Here is a 25,734-nt window from a genome sequence, read left to right on the forward strand (position 1 = left end):
TTGGTTTCCTTAACTGTAAAAATAAGGACATTACTATATCTGCTGTAAGGACCCCATGAATGATACCCCTGACACATGGCAGGTGTTTAACTAATGTTCATCTCTTTCCCTCCTGTGCATCAGCATGATGGGTGGAGGGTCGAGGTCAGCTGGGTATGTCCCTAAGAACATGACAGGTCATTTTCTCTCTCCAAGAGGAGGTAGATGGCAGCATCTGCCTTGCTCTAAATGAAACCTTGCTTGGTGTCGAGCATGATGGAGACCTTCCCTGTCTAATCCCTGGGAACTCCCTTCCTCTCCAGCATAGGCCTTTAGGGTAAATAAAGTCATCAGGGCCGGGCACGGTGGCTTATGCCTGTAATCCCAGCACTTTGGGAGGCCGAGGCGGGTGGATCACCTGAGGTCAGGAGTTCAAGACCAGCCTGGCCAACATGGTGAAACCCCGTGTCTACCAAAAATACAAAAATTAGCCGGGCATGGTGGCATGCGCCTGTAATCCCAGCTACTCGGGAGGCTGAGGCAGGAAAAATGCATGAACCCAGGAGGCGGAGGTTGCAGTGAGCCAAGATCAAGCCACTGCACTCCAGCCTGGGTGACAGAGTGAGACTCCATCTTCAAAAAAAAAAAAAAAAAAAGGCATCAAACACCCACTCCCTCTACCCCTCTCCTCTCTAAAGACACAGCACTATGTCACCCTCATTCCTACAGATGTCTGCAAGTTCACACTCTTCATACCACAGAAAGGGTTAACGTTTGGAAGGCTACATCATGCCTTCAGCAAACACTTATTGAGCATCTACTAAGGGCCCAACTGGGGAAATCCCCACAGGAAAGGTAATATACTAAAAAGTAATTCATGCCAAGGTGCAAGTGACTAACATCTGATCATCCCAGAAAAGGGTTTTTGATGGCATAAGGAGGATAAGGGGATCACGGGGATATTGTGTGTCTTGTTTGGCAAGGGAAAGTGGAGCCTGTCAAGGTGAAAAGTGCAGAGCACCAAAAGAGAGGCTAAGACCATTTATTATCCATTCATCCACCCAACTACCCATCCATGAATCCATCCATGAATCCATCCATGAATCCATCCATCCATCCATCCATCCATCCATCCATCCATCCATCCACCCATCCATCCACATATTCATCCATCCATGCATCCATCCACCCATCCATCCATCCATCCAGCCATCCATCCATCCATCCATCCATCCATCCATCCATCCATCCATCCATCCGCCCACCTACCCACCCATCTACCCATCCATCCACACATTCGCCCATCCATCCACATATCCATCCATCTAGGACATACTATATTCTCAGCACTGTGCTACATAGGCCCTTGAAATTGCACTGAACAAAACAGCCCCCTTGCCATCCTGGTTTTTACTGTCTAGCCAGGAGATAGTCCCAGAAGAGGAACTAGACCAAATAGTTACTCTGACTCCTGTCTTCTTTATCAGAAGCTGCCAACTAGTAGACCTCATAGAATCCACAGTCTTGTTTTGTTGCACTTAAATTGTATACTTTTAAAATAGAATATTCGCTGGCAAGGTGACTCACGCCTGTAATCCCAGTACTTTGGGAGGCTGAGGTGGGCGGATCACTGGAGGTGGGGAGTTCGAAACCAACCTGGCCAACATAGCGAAAACCCATCTCTACTAAAAATGCAAAAAAAATTGGCTGGGCGCAGTGGCTCACGCCTGTAATCCCAGCACTTTGGGAGACCAAGGTGGGCAGATCACAAGGTCAAGAGATCAAGTCCATCCTGGCCAACATAGTGAAACTTTGTCTCTCCTAAAAAAAACACAAAAAATATTATCTGGACGTGGTGCCTGTAGTCCCAGCTACTCAGGAGGCTGAGGCAGGAGAATTGCTTGAACCCAGGAGGCAGAGGTTGCAGTGAGCCGAGATAGTGCCACTGCACTCCAGCCTGGGCAACAGAGTGAGACTCCGTCTCAAAAAAAGAAAAAAAAAAATTAGCCGGGCATGGTGGTGCATACTACCGGGGAAGCTGAGGCAGGAGAATAGCTTGAACTCGGGAGGCGGAGGTTGCAGTGAGCCAAGCTTGCACCACTGCACTCCAGCCTGGGTAACAGAGTGAGACTCCATCTCAAATAATAATAATAATAATAATAATAATAATAATAGTAATAATAGAACATTCATATAAAAATTCAGATTTCTGACTTTTCTTGAAAATCAATAACTCGACAACACCAGGCCCTTATTCCCACATGGTAAAAACTGGCTGCGGGGCCTGCAGCTGCTGCCTCAGAGGAGGCATCGGTTCTCACGCCCAACACAGTTCCCAGTGCTCCCTGTCATCTCTCTGCAGCCGAAGCCAAGTGGCAGATATCATCTGTCATAGAGCCTATGCTGCTGTTTTTCTTATAGCAGGGAAATATTTCTCTATGCCTGTGCTTTTTCCTACCACCTGCCCCTTCACTCACGGACTGATTTGTCCCCTCTGAGCAGCTGCACAGACAACCCCTAATTTCGCTAAGCCTATTCTGAAGATGGCAATTAGCTTAGTGCAAATCTTCAGGAAACCCACACTCCTGTCCCTTCTGCAAACCCAGGGCAGAAAGTCAGGAAAATGGAAATGAAGCACCATCCCTTCTCCTGCCACCACAGATGGCCTCTCTCCTGTCGAAGATGCACGTCCCAGGCAGGCCTCCACAGGCCCCAAGGGCTTCCTAGACGTTCTGTAATGAGGCTGGCATCTGCCCAGAGCCCTGCCTCCCCCAGGGCAAGGCTGTAACTCAGGCAGAAATCTACTCCACCCCAGGAGTAGCTATTGCTCAAGAAGACCCGTGCATCCGAGGGACTCTTTGGAAAAAAGGTCACTTGGAGGGCCTGGGCCAGAAAACCAGGTTGTGGAGGAGAAAACACGACTCACAAGTGAAACGCTGAAACTCCTCAGACTTTGCCCAAGGCAAGGGCATGAGAAGTGATAGAGAAGACATCAGAGAGAAAACAAAAGACTTCAGGGCCGAGCCTCCCTTTTAAAGGCTTGCAGCCTGACCCTTTCATGGTCTAAGCCCCATTATTTTTCCCAAATGGGTAGCCCAGCTGTGTCTGAACACCTGCACCTGAGGGGAGCTCATTCCCTCACCAGGAAGCCCACTCAGTCTCTGGATGACTTTGCCAATTAGATGAATTTTCTGTATACTGAGCTTAAATATGTCTCCCTCTTTGTTCTCCCCCACTGGTTCCAGTTCTACCAGGTGGGAGCGTCATGAAACAAGTCCTCTAGCTTGGGGGGTTTCTAAACTTGGCCTTACACCACTTAAAAAATTCATCTCTGCCAGGCGTGGTGGCTCACGCCTGTAATCCCAGCACTTTGGGAGGCCAAGGCAGTTGGATCACCTGAGGTCAGGAGTTCAAGACCAGCCTGACCAATATAGTGGAACCCCGTCCCTACTAAAAATACAAAACTTAGCTGTGCGTGGTGGTATGTGCCTGTAGTCCCAGCTACTGGGGAGGCTGAGACAGGAGAATTGTTCAAACCTGGGAGGCGGACGTTGCAGTGAGGCAACATCACTCTGCTGCACTCCAGCCTGGGTGACATAGCGAGACTCCATCTCAAAATAAAAATAAAAATAAAAATAAATTCATCTCCTGAGCTCCAGTCTAGATATTCTGATTCCATCATTGCAGGGGAACATCTCCGTGTGGCCTGTCCTGTATCCATTCTGCCTTCTTCTGGTAACAGCAGTTCTATTTGCATTTGCATTGATGGAAGCAAGCCTTCTTTTTGTGCAGTCCTGGTGGGACTGTCCCAAAGTGCCCGCAGAGCAAGGAGTAGAACAAGCCGGGCTTGTTCTTCCCCAGGAATTTGATTTTTGAACAGAGAGAAACAAGGATGAAAGCAAGCAGGAGCTGATTTATCCCGAGACTGTTCCTGCCACCTAGATCTGTAGAGGGGCCCAGGGATCCAGGGACCCAATGGCCCCATCTTTCTGACACTCAAGCTGATGTATCCTGAGACTGTTCCTGCCACCTAGATCTGTGGAGGGGCCCGGGGATCCAGGGACCCAACAGCCCCATCTTTCTGACACTCAGGTCTCCCTATTTTCCTTTGCTTCTGCAAGCTTCCCCATACATTTTCAATAAATCTCTTTTGTTTGTTTGTTTTGTTTTGTTTTGAGATGGAGTCTTGCTCTGTCGCCCAGGCTGGATTGCAGTGGCGCGATCTCGGCTCACTGCAAACTCCACCTCCTGGGTTCAAGTGATTCTCCTCCCGAGTAGCTGGGACTACAGCATGCCGCCACCACGCCCTGCTAATTTTTGTATTTTTAGTAGAGATGGGGTTTCACCATATTGGCCAGGCTGGTCTCGAACTCCTAACTTTGTGATTCACCCGCCTTGGCCTCCCAAAGTGTTGGGATTACAGGCGTGAGCCACCATGCCCGGCCCAAAGTCTATTTCTTTTTCATGCAAAGAACTGTATCCAACACAGAGGGTGTAGATGGTGCCTGGGAATCTGAATGTCATTGTGATAGAAAGTCTTTTGGGGGCCATGCTCCTAGGCCAACCTCACTGTTTCACATAGGAGAAACAGAGGCCAGAGAAGGTGATCCCTCAGCACCAGCCTCAAGACCCCACAGCATCTGCAGAGTTCTTTAGAAAGGCAGCCAAGAAGAGAGAAATTTAGGAAGAAACAGCACCCATCAGATTTCTCCCCACACTCTCTTCTGCTCAAAGCCATTTCCCCCAGATTTTCTAGCTCCTGTTTCCGAGGGTGAAGCTCTCCCCTAAGACTCCACTAGGGCGGGGGTAACAACTCTTCACTGTTCCCCCCTCCTCCCCGAAAGAGCTGGGTAGGAAGCAGCAGGGGCACCGGGCCGCTGGATTGGACAGCGTGTAGACCTCACGGAGAGGGGTCAGCACTTGAAAAATTCCTCAAGTCAAAGGGCTCGGGGCTTGGGTGCCGCACAAGGCCCTCACTGTGTGCACATTGTCTCCCTGATAAAAGGGGCCGGGCCTGGGAAAACGGAGCTGTCTCCAGGCGACGGGGTAGGCTGCTGAGGAATGCCCAGGACCCCTCCCTCCCCCAGACACCAGGGCCAGGACTGCGAGGGGGTAGGGAGGGGCAGGGGGTGCAGCGTGGGTGCCCAGAGGGAGAGGAATGAAGTCCAGAGCCCCTCCAGGTGGTGTTGGGTGGTGTGTTTGAGTGATGGAATGAAGCAAGCAGAAAGTGACAAAACTCCCTTCATTAGGCCCTTCCTATCTCCACCCCCAGCCCCTCCAGCCATCCCAGAAACCCCTTCATTTCCCCACACAAACAGGCAGGGCCTGCCCTTGTTCAAGGAGAGCCTTAGGGGTAGGGGAAGCGGTGGAGAGAGGCACAAGGATTTTGTTCCTCAGAGCCAAGTGTCTTCAACAGAGAGTTGTGTGTCTCCACTCTAAGCCTCTCAACCAACTCTAGGAGGAGGGGACTGACTTGGAGTCGGCACCTCATCCTCACAGCGGAGGGACTGCCAGCCCGCCAGGATCTCGACACCCTCCTCTAGGGTTTCTGGAAGACAGCCCTCCAGCACATCCAGCTGAGCTGAGAGGCAGGCCAAATGGCTTCCTTCCCCCTGGCTTCCACAACGATTATACTCACCAGCAATTAGTAATTGCAATTAATTGTTAATAACAGTTACCATTTCAGGGCCTCTTAGGACAGCCTAAGCCGTGTACCAGCTCCACCCATGTCATTATCTCTAATCTTTCCAGTTACCCTTCCAGGAAGATATTCCATGACCCTGCCTTCCTGCTGAGGAATGTGAGGTTCGGAGGTTGGATTTGCCCAAGGTCACATAACTGAGAAGGAAAACAGGGACCAGAGCCCACAGTACCCAGGCCGTCTGGCTCTGGACTGTCCCCTCAGCTTTGCTCCCTCCCTCCCTGCTGGTGGCGGACAGCCCTCCTCACAGGCAAGGAAAGCTGCTCTCTGAGAATGGGGTCAATAGGGGGATCTGGTTTGGCTCTTCCCAGCCAGAAAACAAGGAAGCTCTAAGGCCAACCTCTCACTGGCCCCGTGGTAGCAGAGCCAGCAGTGTCTCTTGTTGCTGCCCTCCATAAGCAGAGAGGCCAGATAAAATCCAGGACATCCAAATTTTCCATCCAATCCAAATTTCCAATGAACAATACATCATTTTGTAGTATAAGTCTCTCCAAATATGGCATGGGATATACTTAGACTCATTCATTGTCTATCTAAGTATTAACTGGGTGTCTTGTATTTTTATTTGCTAAATCTGACAACCCTACCCCAAGCCACTGCTGGTTGTGCCAGCTCTGAGTTCACCCCCCATCCTTCCTCCACGTGGCACAGGTGGACGCAGCATGTCCTGATCACCACAGGGCTGATCAAACCCAATGCAGTCCTTACAAGGACAGGCCAAGATGCCCTGCAGTCCTCATGCCTTCGGTCAAAGCAGACTGAAGCTGCTTTTTTTTTTTTCTGAGATGGAGTCTCCCTCTGCCACCAGGCTGGAGTGTTGTGGCACTATCTCGGCTCACTGCAACCTCCGACTCCCTGGTTCAAGTGATTCTCCTGCCTCAGCCTCCCAAGTAGCTGGGATTACAGGCATGCGCCACCACGCTCAGTTAATTTTTGTATTTTTAGTAGAGATGGGGTTTCACCATGTTGGCCAGGATGGTCTCGATCTCCTGACCTTGTGGTCTGCCTCCCAAAGTGCTGAGATTACAGGTGTGAGCCACCGCATCCGGCCTTTTTTTTTCCCCCTGAAGGAAACACTGGCCTCTGAGTTACCAGCTGCACCAGAAGGAGGAGGGGAAGCCTTGGAAATAACATGCAAGTATCAGGTACTCTCCCTGAATTCCAGGGCAACTGAATATTTTCTAAGACTCTCTTCCAGGGCATCCTCAATCCTGAATTTACCCTTAATAATGGTAACAGACTTTGGCAAGAGTATCCATTCATTCCTTAAGTCATCCATCTATCCCAGCCTCCCGTCCATCTATCCTAGCCAGGCACTGTGCTGGGCTCTGAGGGTCAGTGGTTGCATAGGAAAGGCATAAACTCTGACCTTGAGTCAGAGTTGGTCCAATATGGGTAGGACCAAACAAAGTCACTCACATCTACATTGAAAAACTAAGCACCCACACTGAAAAACAGCTGTGGAGGAGAGGAACTCGGCACTCTCACTGGACACTTCATAACATCCCTGTGAAGTCAGTGGTATAGGGAAGGTGGTGGCATTGTGATCCCACTTTACAGACAAAGAAACTGAGGTACCAAAAGGTACAGTATCTTGGCCAAGACCACAGAGACAGTGAGTGGCTGGGACTTCAAGCCCACGCTACCACCTGTCAGCCTAGAGTTCTCTTGAGTATTATCTTCTTTCCCATTTAACTCTCGGGAATCATGTCTGACATGTGTTAGGAAATCACATCTTTAATATCTAAACATACGGGAAAGAATAGAAAAGATCTTGCCTGAGATCCCTTGGTGCTTTAAAAAGAGGAAAATATTCTCTGCACATCCAAGGACAATTTCTGTAGAAGGTCCAATTTGCAAACCTGAACTCGTAAGTATGTGTATGGCTAAAGGAATTCCCTTTTCCCTGGGCACCCTTTAAGCTCTGGCTGCCCGGAGGGCTCCAGCAGGGCGGGGCTGCCTGGCTCGAGGTGGGGCGCCTTCTTCTGAGGGTGAGGTCACCGGAATCCTGTGCTTGGCTGTGCACTGTAACATGGAGTGCTGCCACCCGTTGCCTCACACTGCTCTCAGACGCTGGGTGTGTGCCGGGGTGTGAGGCCCCAGGGTCCTGCTCCCCGAGGTCAACACCCTCAGGAGCAGTAGAGGAGGGGCTGAGCTTCAGGTGGGAGAGGTTGGGGAGTGGCATAAGAACTGCGGTGCCCAGGCTAGCCCTTTGGATGGGCCTGAGCCAGGTCCCAGATGTCAGTAGCATTTGCTTTGATTTTGGACTCAGAGCCTCAGTCTTCCCTATGTATACAATGAGAATAGTACTGGTGCCCCATACAGTTATTGGGAGAGCTAAATTAGAGAATCTATGAAAGCCATTGAACCCCTGGTCAGGGGACGTGCACAGATGCTTGCCAAAAGATGATGATGCAGACACGACCCCATCCTCAAAGAGCTCTGTCATTCATGTGCTTGTTCAGTCATTTGACCAACACTCTTCAGCATCTATCTCGTGCCACACACTGAAGCAGTAGCAGTGGTCAGCAGGAGGGTGGCACCATCAGAAATTCCTTTTACGACATGAGTCCAGTTCAAGTCCCAGCCCAGCCCCACTTCTGTCTCCTTGAGCAGGTGCATGGTTTCTCCACGCTCTGCCCCCCTCACCTTTAAATGAGCTGACAGTCAACTCCTGCTCCTCGGCAAATGCTTAACAACCAGTTCTCTGGATGGGGGAACAAAAAGCCCTGCTTTCTAGCATTTGCCAGTTTCCACAGTGTAAATGCTCCCACAACAGCCAATGTGATTTTCAGCTGGATTGAGTCAAGGTGAGAGGGAAAAAGAGAATTTTAAGAATGCCACCGGCCGGGCGCGGTGGCTCACGTCTGTAACCCCAGCACGTTGGGAGGCCGAGGCGGGCAGATCACGAGGTCAGGAGATCGAGACCATCCTGGCTAACACGGTGAAACCCCCGTCTCTACTAAAAAATACAAAAATTAGCTGGGCATGGTGGTGGGCGCCTGTAGTCCCAGCTACTCAGGAGGCTGAGGCAGGAGAAGGGCGTGAACCCGGGAGACGGAGCTTGCAGTGAGCTGAGATTGAACCACTGCACTCCAGCCTGGGTGACAGAGCGAGACTCCATCTCAAAAAAAAAAAAAAAAAGAATGCCACCAATGTCATTCCTCAGTTTGATTGTCACACCCCCAACCTTGTCATTGCCAATAACGCACCACCTCCCAAATTCCTCATTCAGTCAACAGGCATTTCCTACGTACCTATTATCTGCCCTGTTCTAGGCATGGGCAAATACAGACACCATGTAGAAGTGGGTGGGCAGATAGGTGATGATCATACAGCGTAATAACTCTTGGAAAATCTAGAAATGCACAAGGTGCTTACCAATGGGTGTCATTAATCCTTGTTTGGTAGGAAGGTGTAGTCTGATATTCTCTCCACCAGATGGATGGTAGCTGAGGAGGGTTTCAGAGGGTTTCAAACCAAGGACACCCTTTTAATTTCTTACCCAACAAATAAAAGAAAAAAGAAACCATTGGGAAGGGTGGGCAATAACAGCAAAGATAGCAATAGATCATTGCGGAAATGGAAGAGCAGATTTTCTGAGAAAAAGGCTACCAGCAGAGTAAGAGGACAGGAGAGCCAGGGCTCCAGAGGCCACCCAGGGAGGACCGCAGTGACCTGGGGAGGAACAGCTTCTATTCGCTGCTCCCCCAACAGCCCTCCTCCCCATTCTATCCAGGCTCCAGAGACCTTGTAGGATAAACTGAGGGCAGGGAGGTACACCAACTCCACCTGTCTTTTTTATTTTTTGGGTCATGTTAAAGGTTTTGATTTTGAAAATCAAACCTGGGATTCTGGTACATTCTATAGAAATAGTAAAAAAAAAAAAAAAAAAAAAAACAAAAGTCCCTCCATCCTCCTTTTTAAAAACAATTTCAAATAGCAGCCTTACAGTGACTCTGGCATCCTGGTAAGTAAAGAGCCAAGATTTTATACAGAAGTGAATAAAAATAGAAACTCCTCCACCGTGTGTTCTGTGTTCCTGAACCCTAAGGTGAGGTGAGCTTCAGACTCCACTATGCCCAGTACAAGTTATCCTGCTTGGACTAAGGTAGGGCAATGACATATGCTAACTGAACAGTTACTGTGTGTTGAGCTCCAGGGACATTAGGAAGAGTAAGAGACAGGCCTTGTTCTTGCAGAAGAGACGATTATAATACAGATACAGTGTGGTATGTGCGCCTGCATGATGCGCCAGCATGATGAAGTGTGTTTTAAGTTACACAAGGGAGGTCGATATTAACACTGCAGGGTGGGGTGTGTCAGGGAAGAATTCTCAGAAGAGGGGACACCTGAGCAGGATTTCAAACATGAATGGAAACTTGCCAGGTGTACAAGATAGGGAAGGGTATTCCAGGTAACAGGGAACAGAATGTACTAAGGCGGAAAGGTGTGTTTGAGAACTACAAGTGGCTTACTCTTCCTGCAGAATAAACAGGACAGGGCCAGTCACGGTGGCTCACGCCTATAATCCCAGCACTCCGGGAGGCCGAGGCAGGCAGATCACTTGAGGTCAGGAGTTCGAGATCAACCTGGCCAACAAGATGAAACCGTCTCTACTAAAAATACAAAAATTAGCTGGGCGTGGTGGCCTGTGCCTGCAATCCCAGACCCCCAGGAGGCTGGGGCATGAAAATCACTTAAACCTCGGAGGTGGAGGTTGCAGTGAGCTGAGATTGCGCCATTCCACTCCAGCCTAGGCAACACAATGAGACTCTGTCTCTAAAAAACAAAAACAAAACAAAACAAAAACAAACAATAAAAGCACAGGAAGCAGAGCTGGAGGCAGAACTAGAGGGAGGGCAGGGCAGGCATGCTTATGACTTTGAGGGCAACGATTCCCCCACCACAGGATTATATTAATAAAACGAGATGCATGGGGAGGGGGCAGGCAGGAGCAAAGTGAAACTGGTCAGATTTGTGTTTCAGAAAGATGACCCTTGGGTAGTCCCATGGAAGGTAACCAGAAGGTGAACTCAAGATGGGAGGTTTCAGACCAGTGAAGCTGCTGGAAAATTCTAGGCAAGATAAGCAGTGGAGTGGCAGTGGGGCTGAAGAGAACTGAGTTTGATATCAATTAATTATAATTCTCCTTTCCCTTGTGGTTCTCAAATCTACAGATGAGGCTGGGCACGGTGGCTCACACCTGTAATCTCAGCACTTTGGGAAGCCGAAGTGGGAGGATCGCTTCAGCCCAGGAGTTCAAGACAAGCCTAGGCAACACAGTGAAACCCCACCTCATTTAAAAACAAACAAACTGCTGATTGTCCCCCACCATCCCAGAGGAGAGCATCACCTTTAGTTCAGACCTATCCGGAGCCAGGCCTTACATCCTTGCCTAGCCAGGCTGGTCTCCTCAGGCACCCCCAACAGGAGAGAGTATCTTTAAATGCCTGGCCATGAGTTCTCCCAGCAAAGACGGCTTTGAGACCCTCTATTTCTCCTGAAGATGAAAGGTCTCTCTCCAGGTCACTGGCCAGGTTTTGGATCGTCCTCAAGGGACCCAGGCTGACTCAGAGTCTACAAGCTGGACACATCAGGCAGGGAAGAGTGGTATCCTGCAATTACCCCACCTGTCCACAACAAAACCTGATTCTACTGGAAGGCCCTGGACCAGGAATGGGAAGACAGAGAAACGTCTGTCTTCCTGAGAAGGGCTGAGAAGGGTAGAAAAGGGGGCAGCATCATCGTCCCCGTTGGGGTTGGGGTGGGTTCACTGTCTGTCCAGACTGCAGCTCCTCTCCCCTTCATTATCATCTGAAAGGGGAAAGAAGGGGGCCCTGTGAGCTGGCTTCTTCCCTTTAACCACTTCCTCCCCTGGGAGACAGCTCACACAGTGCAGGAGGGGCTGGGGAGGGGGCTGGCCCAGAGGCACCAGACTCTGCAGAACCACCCAGGCATTGTGGGGCTGCCCTGCCACCTGCTGGCCGCTCCTGGTGGCAGGGGACAGGCATTTTTCCGGGATTCTTCAGGACAGGACCGAGACTCTAAGGCAGTCAGCATCAATTTGGAGAAAGCCGGGAAAGTGTTGCGATTCAGAGAGGTTAGGAAGTTCGTGAAGAATCTAGGATGGAGTTCTGTGGGAGAAGCTGTATGTTGGTGGTAGGAAGTCTCTGTCACAAACATCTAATAATTGCAGGGCCAACTGCCAGATGAGTTAATGAGTCTTAGTTTCTTACTTCTCCCCTTTTTCACCCACTGAGGGGCAAGAACACCATAAACAAAGACTGTTGAGTCCCAATTAAAGTGTGGCCATAGGACGAATGATTGAAATATATTGGGAAAAACTCCTCTGGCCAAAGCTGTGTCCCTACCCTTGCACACAGCCTAAAATTCACACACTGGTCCTTCCTGTGGAATAGAGAGACTGAACATCAAATTCAAAATTTAAATGTTATGTCTGAGGCCACTCATTGCATTTCAACCTCATTCACTGTTCCCCTACCCTACTGTATACCACATGGACACTGGAGGGACAGATATTAATAAGACCCAACTTTATCACCCAGGACCTACAGGGAAGAGTGACCAACGGACCAATGGGTTAAATAAATAGCACAATGGGATAAATCCTAATCCAGACTGCCCTGTATATTTGGCATGAAGAAATTAAACAGGCATGCCTACAAGGGGCTACTGTTAAGATGATTAATGTTACACAGGAAGGATCACAATAGTCAGCAATAATAATATACACTTATGCAGTACTTACTGTCTACCAGGCACATCCCATGCACTGTTATACTAACTCAGATCTTAACCCTACTTACATACATTAACTCTATGACATAGGTACTATCATTATTCCCATTTAGGTGCAGTAATTTACAAAGGTCATTAGTCACTTCAGGGTAGAGATGGAATTTCAACCCAGATAGCCTAGCTCTGATGTCTGTATTCTTAACATTGCACCATACTGCCATTTATTAAGTTCAACCTCCATGCAAAGACGTAACTTCCCTGACAAACAGCTGAGCCAGGGATAACACAGCTAGCAGAGAACACTCAAAATCAAGGTCAAATGTTGGGATGAAGAGAGAGAGAAAACTTCAAGGGCCATGCAGGCATTTTGACTACCAGGCAGATGGGCATTGTTCAGGGCAGAGGGCCTAAAAGAAACACCCCGGCAGACATCAACCACTAAGCTCAGAGCCTAATAGTGATGCTTTACATAAACACATAAGCAGAGACAAACAAAGTTTCATGATAAATACCCTTAAGCAAGCAGCAACACCTAAGATGATTCACACTGGATCGGAAGACAGGTGATTCACATGACCAATCTGGTTAAGAAGAGGCAATTTCTGAGCAGGAAGCAGTAAAGTCAGACTGATGGTCTGAATCTGCTGAACATACTTTAATGTTGACTTTACATAGAGTATGCATTAAAAACTATAAATAGCACCAGGTGCGGTGGCTCACACCTGTAATCTCAGCATTTTGGGAGGCCGAGGTGGGCAGATCATGAGGTCAGGAGATCGAGACCCTCCTGGCTAACATGGTGAAACCCTGTCTACAGTAAAAATACAAAAAAATTACCCGGGCGTGGTGGCGCCTGCCTGTAGTCCCAGCTACTTGGGAGGCTGAGGCAAAAGAATCACTTGAACCTGGGAGGTGGAGGTTGCAGTAAGCTGAGATCGTGCCACTGCACTACAGCCTGGGCAAGAGAGCAAGACTCCATCTCAAAAAAACAAAACAAAACAAAAAAAACTATAAATAGCAAAGCATAGATTTAATCATTCCCAAACTAAGTTAATGTCTCAAGGAGTGAATGAGTGTATATACATGCACATTGGACTAACAGAGCATCTGGCACATTTAATGAATGGGATGCATTCATTTATTCAGTTAATACATAGTTACTTGGTGCCTACTGATACGGTTTGACTGTGTACTCACCCAAATCTTATCTTAAACTGTAGTTCCCATAATCTCTATGTGTTGTGGGAGGGATTCAGTGGGAAGTAATTGAACCATGGGGGCAGTTACCCCCATGCTGCTGCTCTTGTGGTAGCGAGTTCTCACAAGAGCTGATGGTTTTATAATGTGCTTCCCCCTTCACTTGGCACTCATTCATTCTCTCTCCTGCCACCCTGTGAAGAGGTGGCTTCTGCCATGATTGTAAGTTTCCTGAGGCCTCCCCAGCCATGTGGAACTGTGAGTCAATTAAACCCGTTTTCCTTTATAAATTACCCAGTCTCAGGTAGTTCTTTATAGCAGTGTGAGAATGGACTAATATAGTAAATTGGTACCCCAGAGAGTGGGATGCTTCTGTAAAGATACCCAAAAATGTGTAAGTGACTTTGGAACTGGATGACAGGCAGAAGTTGGAACAGTTTGGAGGGCTCAGAAGAAGACAGGAAAATATGGGAAAGTTTGGAACTTCCTAGAGGCTTGGAGGGCTCAGAAGACAAGAAGACGTGGGAAAGTTTGAAACTTCCCAGAGACTTGTTGAATGGTTTTGACCAAAATTCTGATGGTGATATGGATAATGAAGTCCAGGTTGAGGTGGTCTCAGATGGAGATGAAAAACTTTTTGGGAACTGGAGTAAAGGTCACTCTTGCTATGCAAAGAGACTGGCAGCATTTTGCCCCGGCCCTAGAGATCTGTGGAACTTTGAACTTGAGAGAGATGATTTAGGGTATCTGGCAGAAGAAATTTCTAAGCAGCAAAGCATTCAAGAGGAAGCAGAGCATAAAAGTTTGAAAAATTTGCAGCCTGACAATGTGATAGAAAAGAAAAATCCATTTGCTGGGGAGAAATTCAAGCCCACTGCAGAAATTTGCATAAGTAACAAGGAGCCGAATGTTTATTACCAAGACAATGGGGAAAATGTCTCTAGGGCATGTCAGAGACCTTGGGGGCAGCCCCTCCAATCACATGCCAGGAGGCCTAGGAGGGAAGAATGGTTTCATAGGCTGGGTCCAGGGCCCTCCCTCCTGTGTGCAGTATCAGGACTTGGTGCCTGTGTCGCAGCCACTTCAGCTGTGGCTAAAAGAGACCAAGGTACAGCTGAGGCTGTTGCTTCAGAGGGTGCAAGCCCCAAGCCTTGGCACCTTCCACATGGTGCTGGCCCTGCGGATGCACAGAAGTATTCAGGTTTGGGAACCTCTGCCTAGATTTCAGAGGATGTATGGAAACACTTGGGTGTCCAGGCAGAAGTTTGCTGCAGGGGTGGGGCCCTCATGGAGAACCTCTGCTAGGGCAGTGGGGATGGGAAATGTGGGGTTGGAGCCCCCACACAGAGTCCCCACTGTGGCACTGCCTAGTGGAGCTGTAAGAAGAGGGCTACTGTCTTCCAGACCCCAGAATGGTAGATCCACTGACACTTCACACTGTGAGCCTGGAAAAGACACAACGCCAGCCTGTGAAATCAGCTGGGAGGGGAAGCTGTACCCTGCAAAACTATAGGGATGGAGCTATCCAAGGTCATGGGAGCCCACCTCTTGCATCAGCATTACCTGGATGTGAGACATGGAGTCAAAGGAGATTATTTCAGAGCTTTAGGATTTAATTACTACCTCATTGGATCAGAGTTACCTGGATGTGAGACATGGAGTCAAAGGAGATTATTTCAGAGCTTTAAGATTTAATTACTGCCTCACTAGATTTCAGATTTGCATGGGGCCTGTAGCCCCTTTGATTTGGCCAATTTCTCCTATTTGGAATGCGTGTATTTACCCAATGCCAATACCTCCATTGGATCTAGGAAGTAACTAACTTGCTTTTGATTTTACAGGCTTCTAAGAGGAAGGGATTTGCCTTGTCTCAGGTGAGACTTTGGACTTGGACTTTTGGGTTAATGCTGGAATAAGACTTTGGGGAACTGTTGGGAAGGCATGATTGTGTTTTGAAATGTGAGATTTGGGAGGGGCCAGGGGTGGAATGATATGGTTTGGCTGTGTACCCACCCAAATTTCATCTTGAATTGTAGTTCCCATAATCCTCATGTGTCATGGGAGGGACCCAGAGGGAGGTAATTTGAATCCTGGGGGTGGTTACCCCCACGTTGGTGTTCTCATTGTAGTGAGTGAGTTCTCACAAGAGCTGATGGTTTTATAAGGGGCTTCCCCCTTCACCTGGCACTCATTCATTCTCTCTCCTGCCACCCTATGAAGAGGTGCCTTCCACCATAATTGTAAGTTTCCTGAAGCCTCCCCAGCCACGTGGAACTGTGAGTTGATTAAACCTCTCTCCTTTATAAATTACCCAGTCTCGGGCAGTTCTTCAGGCAGTGTGAGAACAGACTGATACACCTACTATGTGGCCACCTTTGGAGACATGCACATGCGACCCTGTTCTCCATCCCCAAAAGCCATGTATGAGTCCACTGTCAGACTTTTCTGGTTCCCATCCATGTATTCCTCTGCTCTGGATGCAATGCTTCCATCTCCATAGTTGGGCTCACTTCCTGAACTGCAATTTCTATGTCTCCAGCTAGACTGATAACATTTATCACCTCTGAGTACCAAACAGCTGGGATAGACTTATTCTCCAAATGCAGCTCCACATAAGCAGGAGCCTGTTCCCTACTATACCCATGCATCTCAGCTATGCCTGGCACCGAATCAGTGCTCAGTAAACTACCTGGTGAATGACTGCTACAGTGATCTTGACACAGGTATCAGGTCTCTGCCACTGTGGAACTTACCAGCTAGGGAGCACTGTCTGAGAAGAGGCTGGCAGTGGTCATTTCTGCCCACCTTTGGTGTTCAGAAGACAGGCTCTGGAGCCAGACTGCCAGTACCTGGGAGAGCTGAGATGCACACTCAGGCACTCTGATCCCAAGGTTTGGGATAAGGACTGTGGACTTGTATTGCTTTCTTTTATCCTCATAACAAGCTCATTTTATGGAAGGAGGGTGGCTGAGGCTGACAGGTTAATCTGCCAAGTACTGCCAGACGTATTTCAGATATTAAAAGTTTTCCATTTTTAGGAAGGTAATATGGTGAATATACCATATTTTATATAACACTTCCAGCAGGCTCTGAACTATACTCCATATCAAACACATTCAGATGCTTGCAGCAAATCATATGAACAAACACACTTAGTATAATTATAGCCTCACTTTCCTGCAGATTAGGCTTTGCTACCAAAAGAATTGCAAAACATTTTCTAGTTTCCAGAGTGTGTTGGATTTGGGATTTGCAGGCGAGGGACTGTGGACCTGTAAATATAAAGCCCTTAGAAGAGAATGTGGCACTAAGTAGGTGCTGTGGGCCTAGCATGCAGCAGCCACTTGGTACATGTTAGTTTCCTTCTCTCCAGCCAGGCTCTGATAGCACCCAAGCCTCTCATAGCTCTCCCCTTCTATTTCCCCAGGAGATGAGATAATCCCCACTCCTCTCTTGCCCCAGAAGGTGGTAGCACTTGCAAATTCCTACTTACCAGTCTGTATGGGCATCATCGATCACCAACAGGATCCTGGGTCTTTGAACAATGGGCGTGGAGGGACCTGGAGGCTCCATCAGTCCTGAGGTGGCCTGAGGGGCCTGCTTCATGGCACTGGAGAGGGAGCTAAAAAGGCTGGATCCTGGAGAGGAGAAGGAGGCAGCCAGGGGCTGGGGGTGCCTCCTCTCCATGGCGGGGGAAGCAGGTGAGCTGGTGGAGCTATCTGGGCGTTGCAGGTCCGTCATATAGCCATTAGGCAGGTTGGCCATGAAGCTGCTGTCAGAGAGACGTCGCCGGAGGAAATTCATGGCTGTGGATGGATGGAGATGACTGGCTCCTACCCAGACGTGTGTAGGTGAGGCCCAGAAGACAGGCTGCTGCCAGGTACAGGGAGTGGTAGGACTTTAGCCAGAAGAGCCAGGGGGATTTTGCGCAACCAGCAGTCAGCTTTAGCTGCCTTTATTTACCTGCTGGAAATAAGCCAACAAATACATAAGTGGAAACGACCTCCACCCCCTTAAGAGCAAACAGATACAGCGCTTTCCTGCCCCACTGCAGGTGGTAATGTAAATTAGGACATCCTTCTGGAAAGGAATTTGGCAACATGTATTAAGAGGATAGCTTTTTAACCTACAATTTCCATTTTCTGGAATTATATCGCAAAGAAAGATTCTAAGTTACAGAAAAAGCTTCATGCACAAATATGTTAATCACAGGTTATTTACACTAGCGAAATACTGGGAAGTATCTCAACATTCAACCACAGTTTAACAAATAAGTCAACTACAGCACAGTTACTCAATGAACCTATTGTGGCTATTTTTAAAGGTGCCCTGAAGAACGGATTTTGGTAACAGAAACAATTTCATGTTCTAATGACAAATTTAAAAGATAATGATTCAAAATTATAGGAACCAAATGACTACAAAGATGTACAAGTTGAAAGAACAAAACTTTGGAAATAAAAGAAATCAAAGTGTTAACAGTGATTATATTTTGGTAACGCAAGTACATGCCTTTTTTTCTTTTTCTTTCCTCTTACTTATATTTTTCTAATTTTCTAGAGTGCTTATTACTATGGACCGGCATGTCCCCCACCTCACCAAATTTATATGTTGAAGATAATGCTGAATATGATGCTTCGGAAATGAGCCCTTTGGGAGGTAATTATGGTTAGTGGGGTCATGAGGGTGTGGCCCACGCGATGGAAGTACAGCCCTTATAAGAAAGGATGCCAGAGAGCTTGCTTTCCCTGCACTGTGTGAAAGCAAAGGTAAAAGGCAGCCATCTGCAAACCAGGAGAGAGCCCTCACCAGAACCAGGCAAAGCTGACACCCTGACCTTGGACTTCCCAGCCTCCAGAACTGTGAGAAATAAGTACCTGTTGTTTAACTCACCCAGCCTATGGTATTTTGTTATGTCAGCACAAGCAGATAATATACACATCTATTGCTTTTCTAAACAGAGTAACATAAGTTTAAAAAACCCACACTGTTCATTTGAGATCAAAACATCCCATTGAGAACAATGACTATTTAAACCATGGAATTAGATTTTATATTTTTTGTTAAGATTATTATATACAATTTTTTTTTTTTTTGAAACGGGGTCTCACTTCATCACCCAGCCTGGAGTGCAGTGGCACGATCTTGGCTCACTGCAACCTCTACCTCCCAGATTCAAGTGATTCTCCTGTCTCAGCCTCCAAAGTAGCTGGGATTACAGGCACCCACCACCACGCCCACCTAATTATTGTATTTTTAGTAGAGATGAGGTTTCACCATGTTGGCCATGCTGGTCTCAAACTCCTGGCCTCAAGTGATCTGCCTGCTTTGGCCTCCCAAAGTGCTGGGATCACAGGCGTGAGCCACTGTGCCCAGCCAGTATTTTTATTGCAGTAAAATTTACTTAAGATTGAAATGCACAGTTCTTAGGTATACACTTCTTTGAGTTTTGATAAATGTATATACTGGTATAATGTTTATTATATTTCTACACCTCAGAAAGTTCTTTTGTACCCCTTCTGGTCCCTCCACATCTCCTAACAGGCAAATACTCTTCTGATGCATGTCACCGTTTATTAATTTTACCTGTTCTTGAACTTCATATAAATGTAATCAAATATATTATGCTTTTGTTAATAACTGCTTCCCTCAATGGTTCTGAGATGCAATATGTTGTATAGCAGTCATTCTATTTTTAAAATAACTGAATACCATTCTACTGGATGGATAAACCACAAATTGCTACTCCATTCTCCTGTTGATAAAAATTTGAGGTCAGGCATGGTGGCTCACACCTGTAATCCCAGAACTTTGGGAAGCTGAGGTGGGCAGATCACTTGAAGCCAGGAGTTTGAGACCAGCCTGGCCAACAAGGCAAAACTCTCTCTCTACTAAAAGTAAAAATAATTTTTTTTAAAAAGCTGGGTGTGGTGGTGTGGGCCTGTACGCCCAGCTACTGGGGAGGCTGAGGCACGAGAATCGCTTGAACCCAGGAGGTGGAGGTTGCAGTGAGCCAAGATCACGTCACTGCACTCCAGCCTGGGTGACAGAGTAAGACTTTATCTCAAAAAAAAAAAAAAAAAAAAAAAAAAAAAAAAAAAAAAAGAGAGAGAGAGAAAAGAAAAAGAAAAAAGAAAAAGAAAATCGGAAATGTTTGCAGTTTTCAGAAATTATGCATAAATTGCTGCAAGAAATTTTTATTTAAGTCTTTTTGTGGGGCTAGATAGATAGATGATGAATGGATGGATGGATAAATTGAGAAGTAGATCTTTTCTTTGGGAAAATACCTAGGAGTTAATTTGTTGGGTCATGGGGTAAGTGTATGTCTAAATAAGAAACTGTCAAAAAGTTTCCCATAGTGGTTGTTTGATTTTGCACACTCCATTTGAGAGTTCCCGTTCCTCCACATCCTTTCTCACATTTGGTTGTCGTCGTTTTCATCCTACCCATTCTAGTGGGTGTAGCATAGTATCTTATTGTGTTTTAAATTTATTTTGTCTGATATTTAATGACATTGAACAAGTTTCATGGGTTTACTGGCCAGTGACATATCTTCTTTTGTGGATATCTATTCAAATCTTTGGCCCATTTCTAAAAGGTGGGTTGTTTATCTTTTTATTTTTGATTTGTAGGAGTTCTTTATACATTCTAGATACAAGTCCTTTCTCAGATACGTACATTGTAAATATTTTCTACCATTCTGTGGCTTGCTGCTTCATTTCCTTCATGAGCAGAAGTATGGCAGAATAAAACAACTCTTAAAAAAGTGAATTGTTTATTTGAGATAAAAGCATCCCAATAAGAAAAAAAAATTATACTATAGGATGAGACCACACTTCTGTATTTTGGGTACTGGGAATACTTTACATATCCTTTCATATATACGTATCTAAACACACACACACACACACACACACACACACACACACACACACTTATATATGCATATAATATAAATATAATATATATAAAGTCTTATATATATCTGCAGATGTTTTGATAAACAGAAACTTTTATTTTTATGAAACCTAATTTATCAAATTTTTCATTTATGGTTAGTGTTTCTGTGTCTGTTCTTAAAAATCTCTGCCAGGCTGGGCGTGGTGGCTCACGCCTGTAATCCCAGCACTTTGGGAGGTCAAGGTGGGTGGATCACCTGAGGTCTGCAGTTCGAGACCAGCCTGACCAACATGGAGAAACCCCGTCTCTACTAAAAATACAAAATTAGCTGGGCATGGTGGTGTATGCCTGTAATCCCAGCTACTTGGGAGGCTGAGGCAGGAGAATCACTTGAACCTGGGAGGCGGAGGTTGCGGTGAGCCAGGATCGCATCATTGCACTTCAGCCTGGGCAAAAGGAGCAAAACTCTGTCCCAAAAAAAAAAAAAAATCTGCCAACCCCAAGATCACAATCATACCATCCTACAGTGTCTTGTAGAAGCTTTATAGTTCTAGCTTTTCTGTTGAGGTCGGGGATCCAACTAAACTTGATTTTTGAGTGGTATGAAGTAGGGTATGAAGTTCATTTTCAGCCCCGTTCATTTATCCAGGTTGCCAGCACCATTTATGAAAGTATTTTTCTCCCACTAAATTGCTTTGGTGGCCTTGTTGGCACCAATTGGCTGTACATGTGTGGGCCTACTTCTGGACTATGTTTAATATGCTCCACTGATCTCTCTGTCTATTCTTACATTTATTGATTGCTATGGCTTTCCAGAAAGTTTTAAAATCAGGTAAAGTGAGTCCTCCAACTTAAATTTTCTGTCTCAAGATTGTCTTAGATATCCTAGGTCCTATTTTCATATGCATTTTAAAATCAACTTTTATGAAAAAGTCTGTTGGAATATTGTTCGAGATTGCATAGACTGAGTAGAATTGTCACTGAACAATATTGGGTTCTCTATGAACACAGTAGACCCCTCTACTCAGAAATTTTTTTGTGATTTTCAATATAGAGATCTCGCATACATTTTGCTAAATTTATTCCTATTTCGTTTGGGGTTTTTTGCATGTTTTTAAAATGACACTGTTTTCTAAATTTCACTTTCCATTTGTTTGCTGCTAGTATAATATTATTTTCAATATACTGACATGCTCAATTCAAGTATTGTTGCTACTAGTTGTTTATAGATTCCTTGATACTTTCTATTTAAATAATGTCATCTATAAATAGAGATCTTTACTTCTTTCTTTCTAATCTGAATGCCTTTTACTAATTTCCCTTATCTGACTGTCCTAGCTAGGACCTCCAATATTGAACAGAAATCATGAAAACACACACCTTACCTTGTTCCGAATCTTAGGGGGGAAACACTCAGTATCTCACCATTAATGTGGTGTTAACTAGAGGTTTTTGGTAAATCCACTTTATTAGATTCAGGCAGTTCTCTTCTATTATTATTTGGATGAGAGTTCTTATCATTTGGGAGTTGAATTTGCCAAGTGATTTACTAAATCTATTGAGAGGATTATATGTTTTTGAAACCATTTATTTGCTTAACAATGTGGTAAATTATACTGATTGATTTTTAAATGTTAAACCAAACTTGCATTCCTGGGATAAACCCCACTTGATCATAGTGTATTACCCTTTTTATATATTGGTGGATTCAATCTGATAATATTTTGCTATTTTTGTGTCTATGTTCATGACAAAAAAACATTGGTCTGTGGTTTTATTTTTTGGCAATGTTTTTGCTAGGTTTTGGTATCAGGGTAATATTAACCTCACAAAATAGGTTGGGAAGCATTCCCTCCTTTTCTATTTTCTGAAAGAGTCTGTGTAATATTGTGTTTTTTTTCTTAAATTATTGGCAGAATTCAACAGTGAAACCATCTGGGGTTGGTTTTTCTTTGTGGGAAAGTTTTTAATAATGAATTCAATCTCTTTTATAAAGCTATTCATATTTTGTTTTTCTTTTTATCTCAATTTTGACAATATGTGATTTCGAGCATTTTGTCCATTTCATCTTGGTTGTGAAACTTACTGGCATAAAGTTGTTCATAACATATCCTTTCTGTAGGATCTTATGATTCCTCCTGATATTCCTGATATTGGTAATTTGCTTTTTCTCTCTTTTTGACTGATCCATGTTGCTAAGAATTTATAAATTGTATTACTCTTGCAGGGCACCAACTTGCAGCCTTTTCAATTTCTCCATTGTTTGTTTTCTATTTCACTTATTTCTGTTTTTTATTACTTCCTTTCTTCTCCTTACTTTTGGTTTAAGTTTAATTTGCTATTCTGTTTTCTAGAGCCTTGAGCTGGAAACACAGATCATTAATTTTAAACTCTTTTTTTCCCCAATATAAGTATTTAAAGCAATGTGCTTCCCTCCCAGAAATTCTGACATATTTTCATTATCATTCATTTTAAATTATTCTGTTTATCCCTTATAATTTTTTGACCCATGTATTACTAAAACATGCATTTAATTTTCAAATTTCAGTGCTTTTTAATTATTGTCTTGTTAATGCTTTTAATATAATTCATTTGTGATTCTTGAACACAGTCTATAAGGTTTTAAACCTTTGCCGTTCATTAAGATTAATTTTATGGTTCAATACAGTCTACCTTGATGAATGTTCCAGATGCACTTGGAAAGAATGCATATTTTGTGGTTGCTGGGTGTAATGCTCTACAAATATTACTTAGACTGCTTTCAAGTCCAATTCCCCAGGTAGCTGACACTCCCATGGTGACTTGCAAGCAGGAAGTTTATTAGGCAGTGCTTCCATCTATGCTCAACAACTGTGGGCAGGAATGAAAAGCAGATTTGGGCTGAGAGACAGACAGAACCATCACAGGTTCAACAGAGGTGCCAGTTGATTTTAGTGGGCACATGGACCTGGGGCATCTCTTTAGATGTCCTCATTTTCCAGCCACTCTGTGAGCTTATACTCTGCCCCCTGATTTGTCAAACCAGCAAAGCTGCAGCTCTCCACTTGAGTTCCAGCTGCTCCATGCCAGGTGGCGTGGGAAGAGCCACCTAAATGTATATTTCACTAAGTGGGTGTGGTTTTCCTTCCTTCAAGGGTCAAATCCTGTCCACCTCCTGTCTATTTTTTGTTTTTCTCCAGCAACCTCAAATCGTTTTAAAGATTTTTTCCAAAGTTTATCATTATCATCTGTGAGAGGTTTAGTTCAACTTAGGCTATGCCGTCATTACTGGAACTGAGCCCCTTCCATTTTTCAAATACCAGATGGAAAAGTTAAAATGTTAGGGTTGAAGGGATCTTAGAGTTTATTTAACAATTCCTTCTTCAGGAACTCTGGTCAACCTTCCATTGATATGAATTCCCTGACTTTGAAAAAAAATCACCTCTTACCATCTTTTGACCTACTCCAATGTTAGTCAAAGGCTTCTCAGGTAACTTCTGCCCACTACAGGCCCCAGTGGAACTTACAGGCTGGCAAAGGGAGGCCAATCATGAACATGCAGACAAACATTTATGGTTTAGGGTAAGTGCAAGTAAACAATACACAGAGTGTGGTCATCGAAATTCACTTGGGGCAGGACTTTTGCAGAGAGGATGGTTAGAGAAGGCCTCTCTGAGAAAGTTACTTTTAAAAATTTCATTTTCAATTGACAAGCAATAATTATATATATTTCTGTGATGTTTTGCTATGTTTACATTGTGGAATGATTAAGTCAAGCTAATTAACAAATCTATCATCTCACACACATCATTTTCTGTGGAAAAAAAATTTAAAATCTACTCTTTTAGCAATTTTGAAATATACAATGCATTATTTATAATGCATTATAGTGACTGTAAAGTCACTATTCTGTGCAAAAGATCACAAGGGCTTATCTCTCATAACTGAAACTTTGTACTCTCTGACCGACATGTCCGCTTTCCCCATTCAGCCCCCTCTCCAGCCTTAGGCAACCACATTCTACTCTCAAATTCTATGAGTTCAATGGTTTTAGATGCCACTTACAAGTGAGATCATGTGGTATTTGTCTTTCTGTCCCTGGCTTATCTCACTTAGCATAATGTTCTTCAAGTTCATCCATGTTGTAGCAAATAGCAGAATTTTCCCCTCCTTTTTTTTTGGTCTGAGATGGGGTCTCACTCTGTTGCCCAGGCTGGAGTGCAGTGGTGTGATCATAGCTCACTGCAGCCTCAACCTCCCAGGCTTAAGTGACTCTCCCACCTCGGCCTCCAGAGTAGCTGGGACTACAGACGTGTACTAAGATGCCCAGCTAGTTAAAAAAAAAAAAAAAAAAAAATTAGGGGGCGGGGCTCTCACTATGTTGCCTAGGCTGGTCTCGAGCTCCCGGCCTCAAGCAATTCTCCTGCTTAGAATCCCAAAGTGCTGCGATTACATGCATAAGCCAATGGGTCCTAGCTTCCCCCTCCTTTTAAGGCTGAATGGTATTCCATCGTGTGTATATATACCACATTTACTTTATCCATTCCTCTGATGATGGGCACCTAGGTTAGTTCCATATCTTAGCTACTGGGTATAATGCTGCAATGAACCTGGGAGTGCAGATAGCTCTGATAAATTGATTTCAATATATTTGGATACATACCCAGAAGTGAGCCTGCTGGATCATATGGTAGTTCTATTTTTAGTTTTCTGAGGAACCTCCATGCCGTTTTCCATAATGGCCGTATTAATTTACATTCCCGCCGGACAGGGTGGCTCACGCCTGTAATCCCAGCACTTTAGGAGGCCGAGGTGGTCGGATCACCTGAGGTCCAGAGTTGGAGACCAGCCTGACCAACATGGAGAAACCCCGTCTCTACTAAAAATATAATATTAGCCAGGCGTGGTGGCAGGTGCCTGTAGCACCAGCTACTCGGGGGGCTGAGGCAGGAGAATCGCTTGAACCCGGGAGGCGGGAGTTGCGGTGAGCCGAAATCGCGCCATTGCACTCAAGCCTGGGCAACAACAGCAAAACTCTGTCTCAAAAAAGCCAGCTTCGCAGTCGAAGGACAAGAGTCGTAGAAGCGGTCGAGGCTTTTACGGCTCCGGCGTGCCGGAAAGTGCGTGAGTGGAAGGTGCTTGAGTGCCGCCGCCGGGGAGTTTTGTTCCGTTTCCGGGATCCTGGGGTCTGGAGGCAAAGTATGTTATGCATAAAA

The 25,734-nt window shown here is 45.5% G+C and overlaps 1 protein-coding gene across 17 annotated transcripts in view; it reads right to left on the reverse strand.

Annotated features, from left to right (window-relative positions):
• SYN3 (synapsin III) overlaps positions 1-25,734 on the reverse strand; it is a 550,562-nt gene that overhangs the window by 481,400 nt on the left and 43,428 nt on the right. For 9 of the 17 annotated variants that reach the window (NM_001135774.2, NM_003490.4, XM_047441527.1 and 6 more), the window contains exon 2: positions 17,133-17,605. In NM_001135774.2, the coding sequence (NP_001129246.1) occupies positions 17,133-17,443 (311 nt within the window). In that variant the 5' untranslated portion in view covers positions 17,444-17,605. Of the gene's footprint in view, positions 1-17,132; positions 17,606-25,181; positions 25,707-25,734 lie in introns of those variants that run through there. The other 8 variants (NM_001369909.1, NM_001369907.1, NM_001369910.1 and 5 more) reach the window with 4 other exon arrangements.

The sequence above is a fragment of the Homo sapiens genome, chromosome 22 (assembly GCF_000001405.40).
Source record: "Homo sapiens chromosome 22, GRCh38.p14 Primary Assembly".
Taxonomy (NCBI): domain Eukaryota; kingdom Metazoa; phylum Chordata; class Mammalia; order Primates; family Hominidae; genus Homo; species Homo sapiens.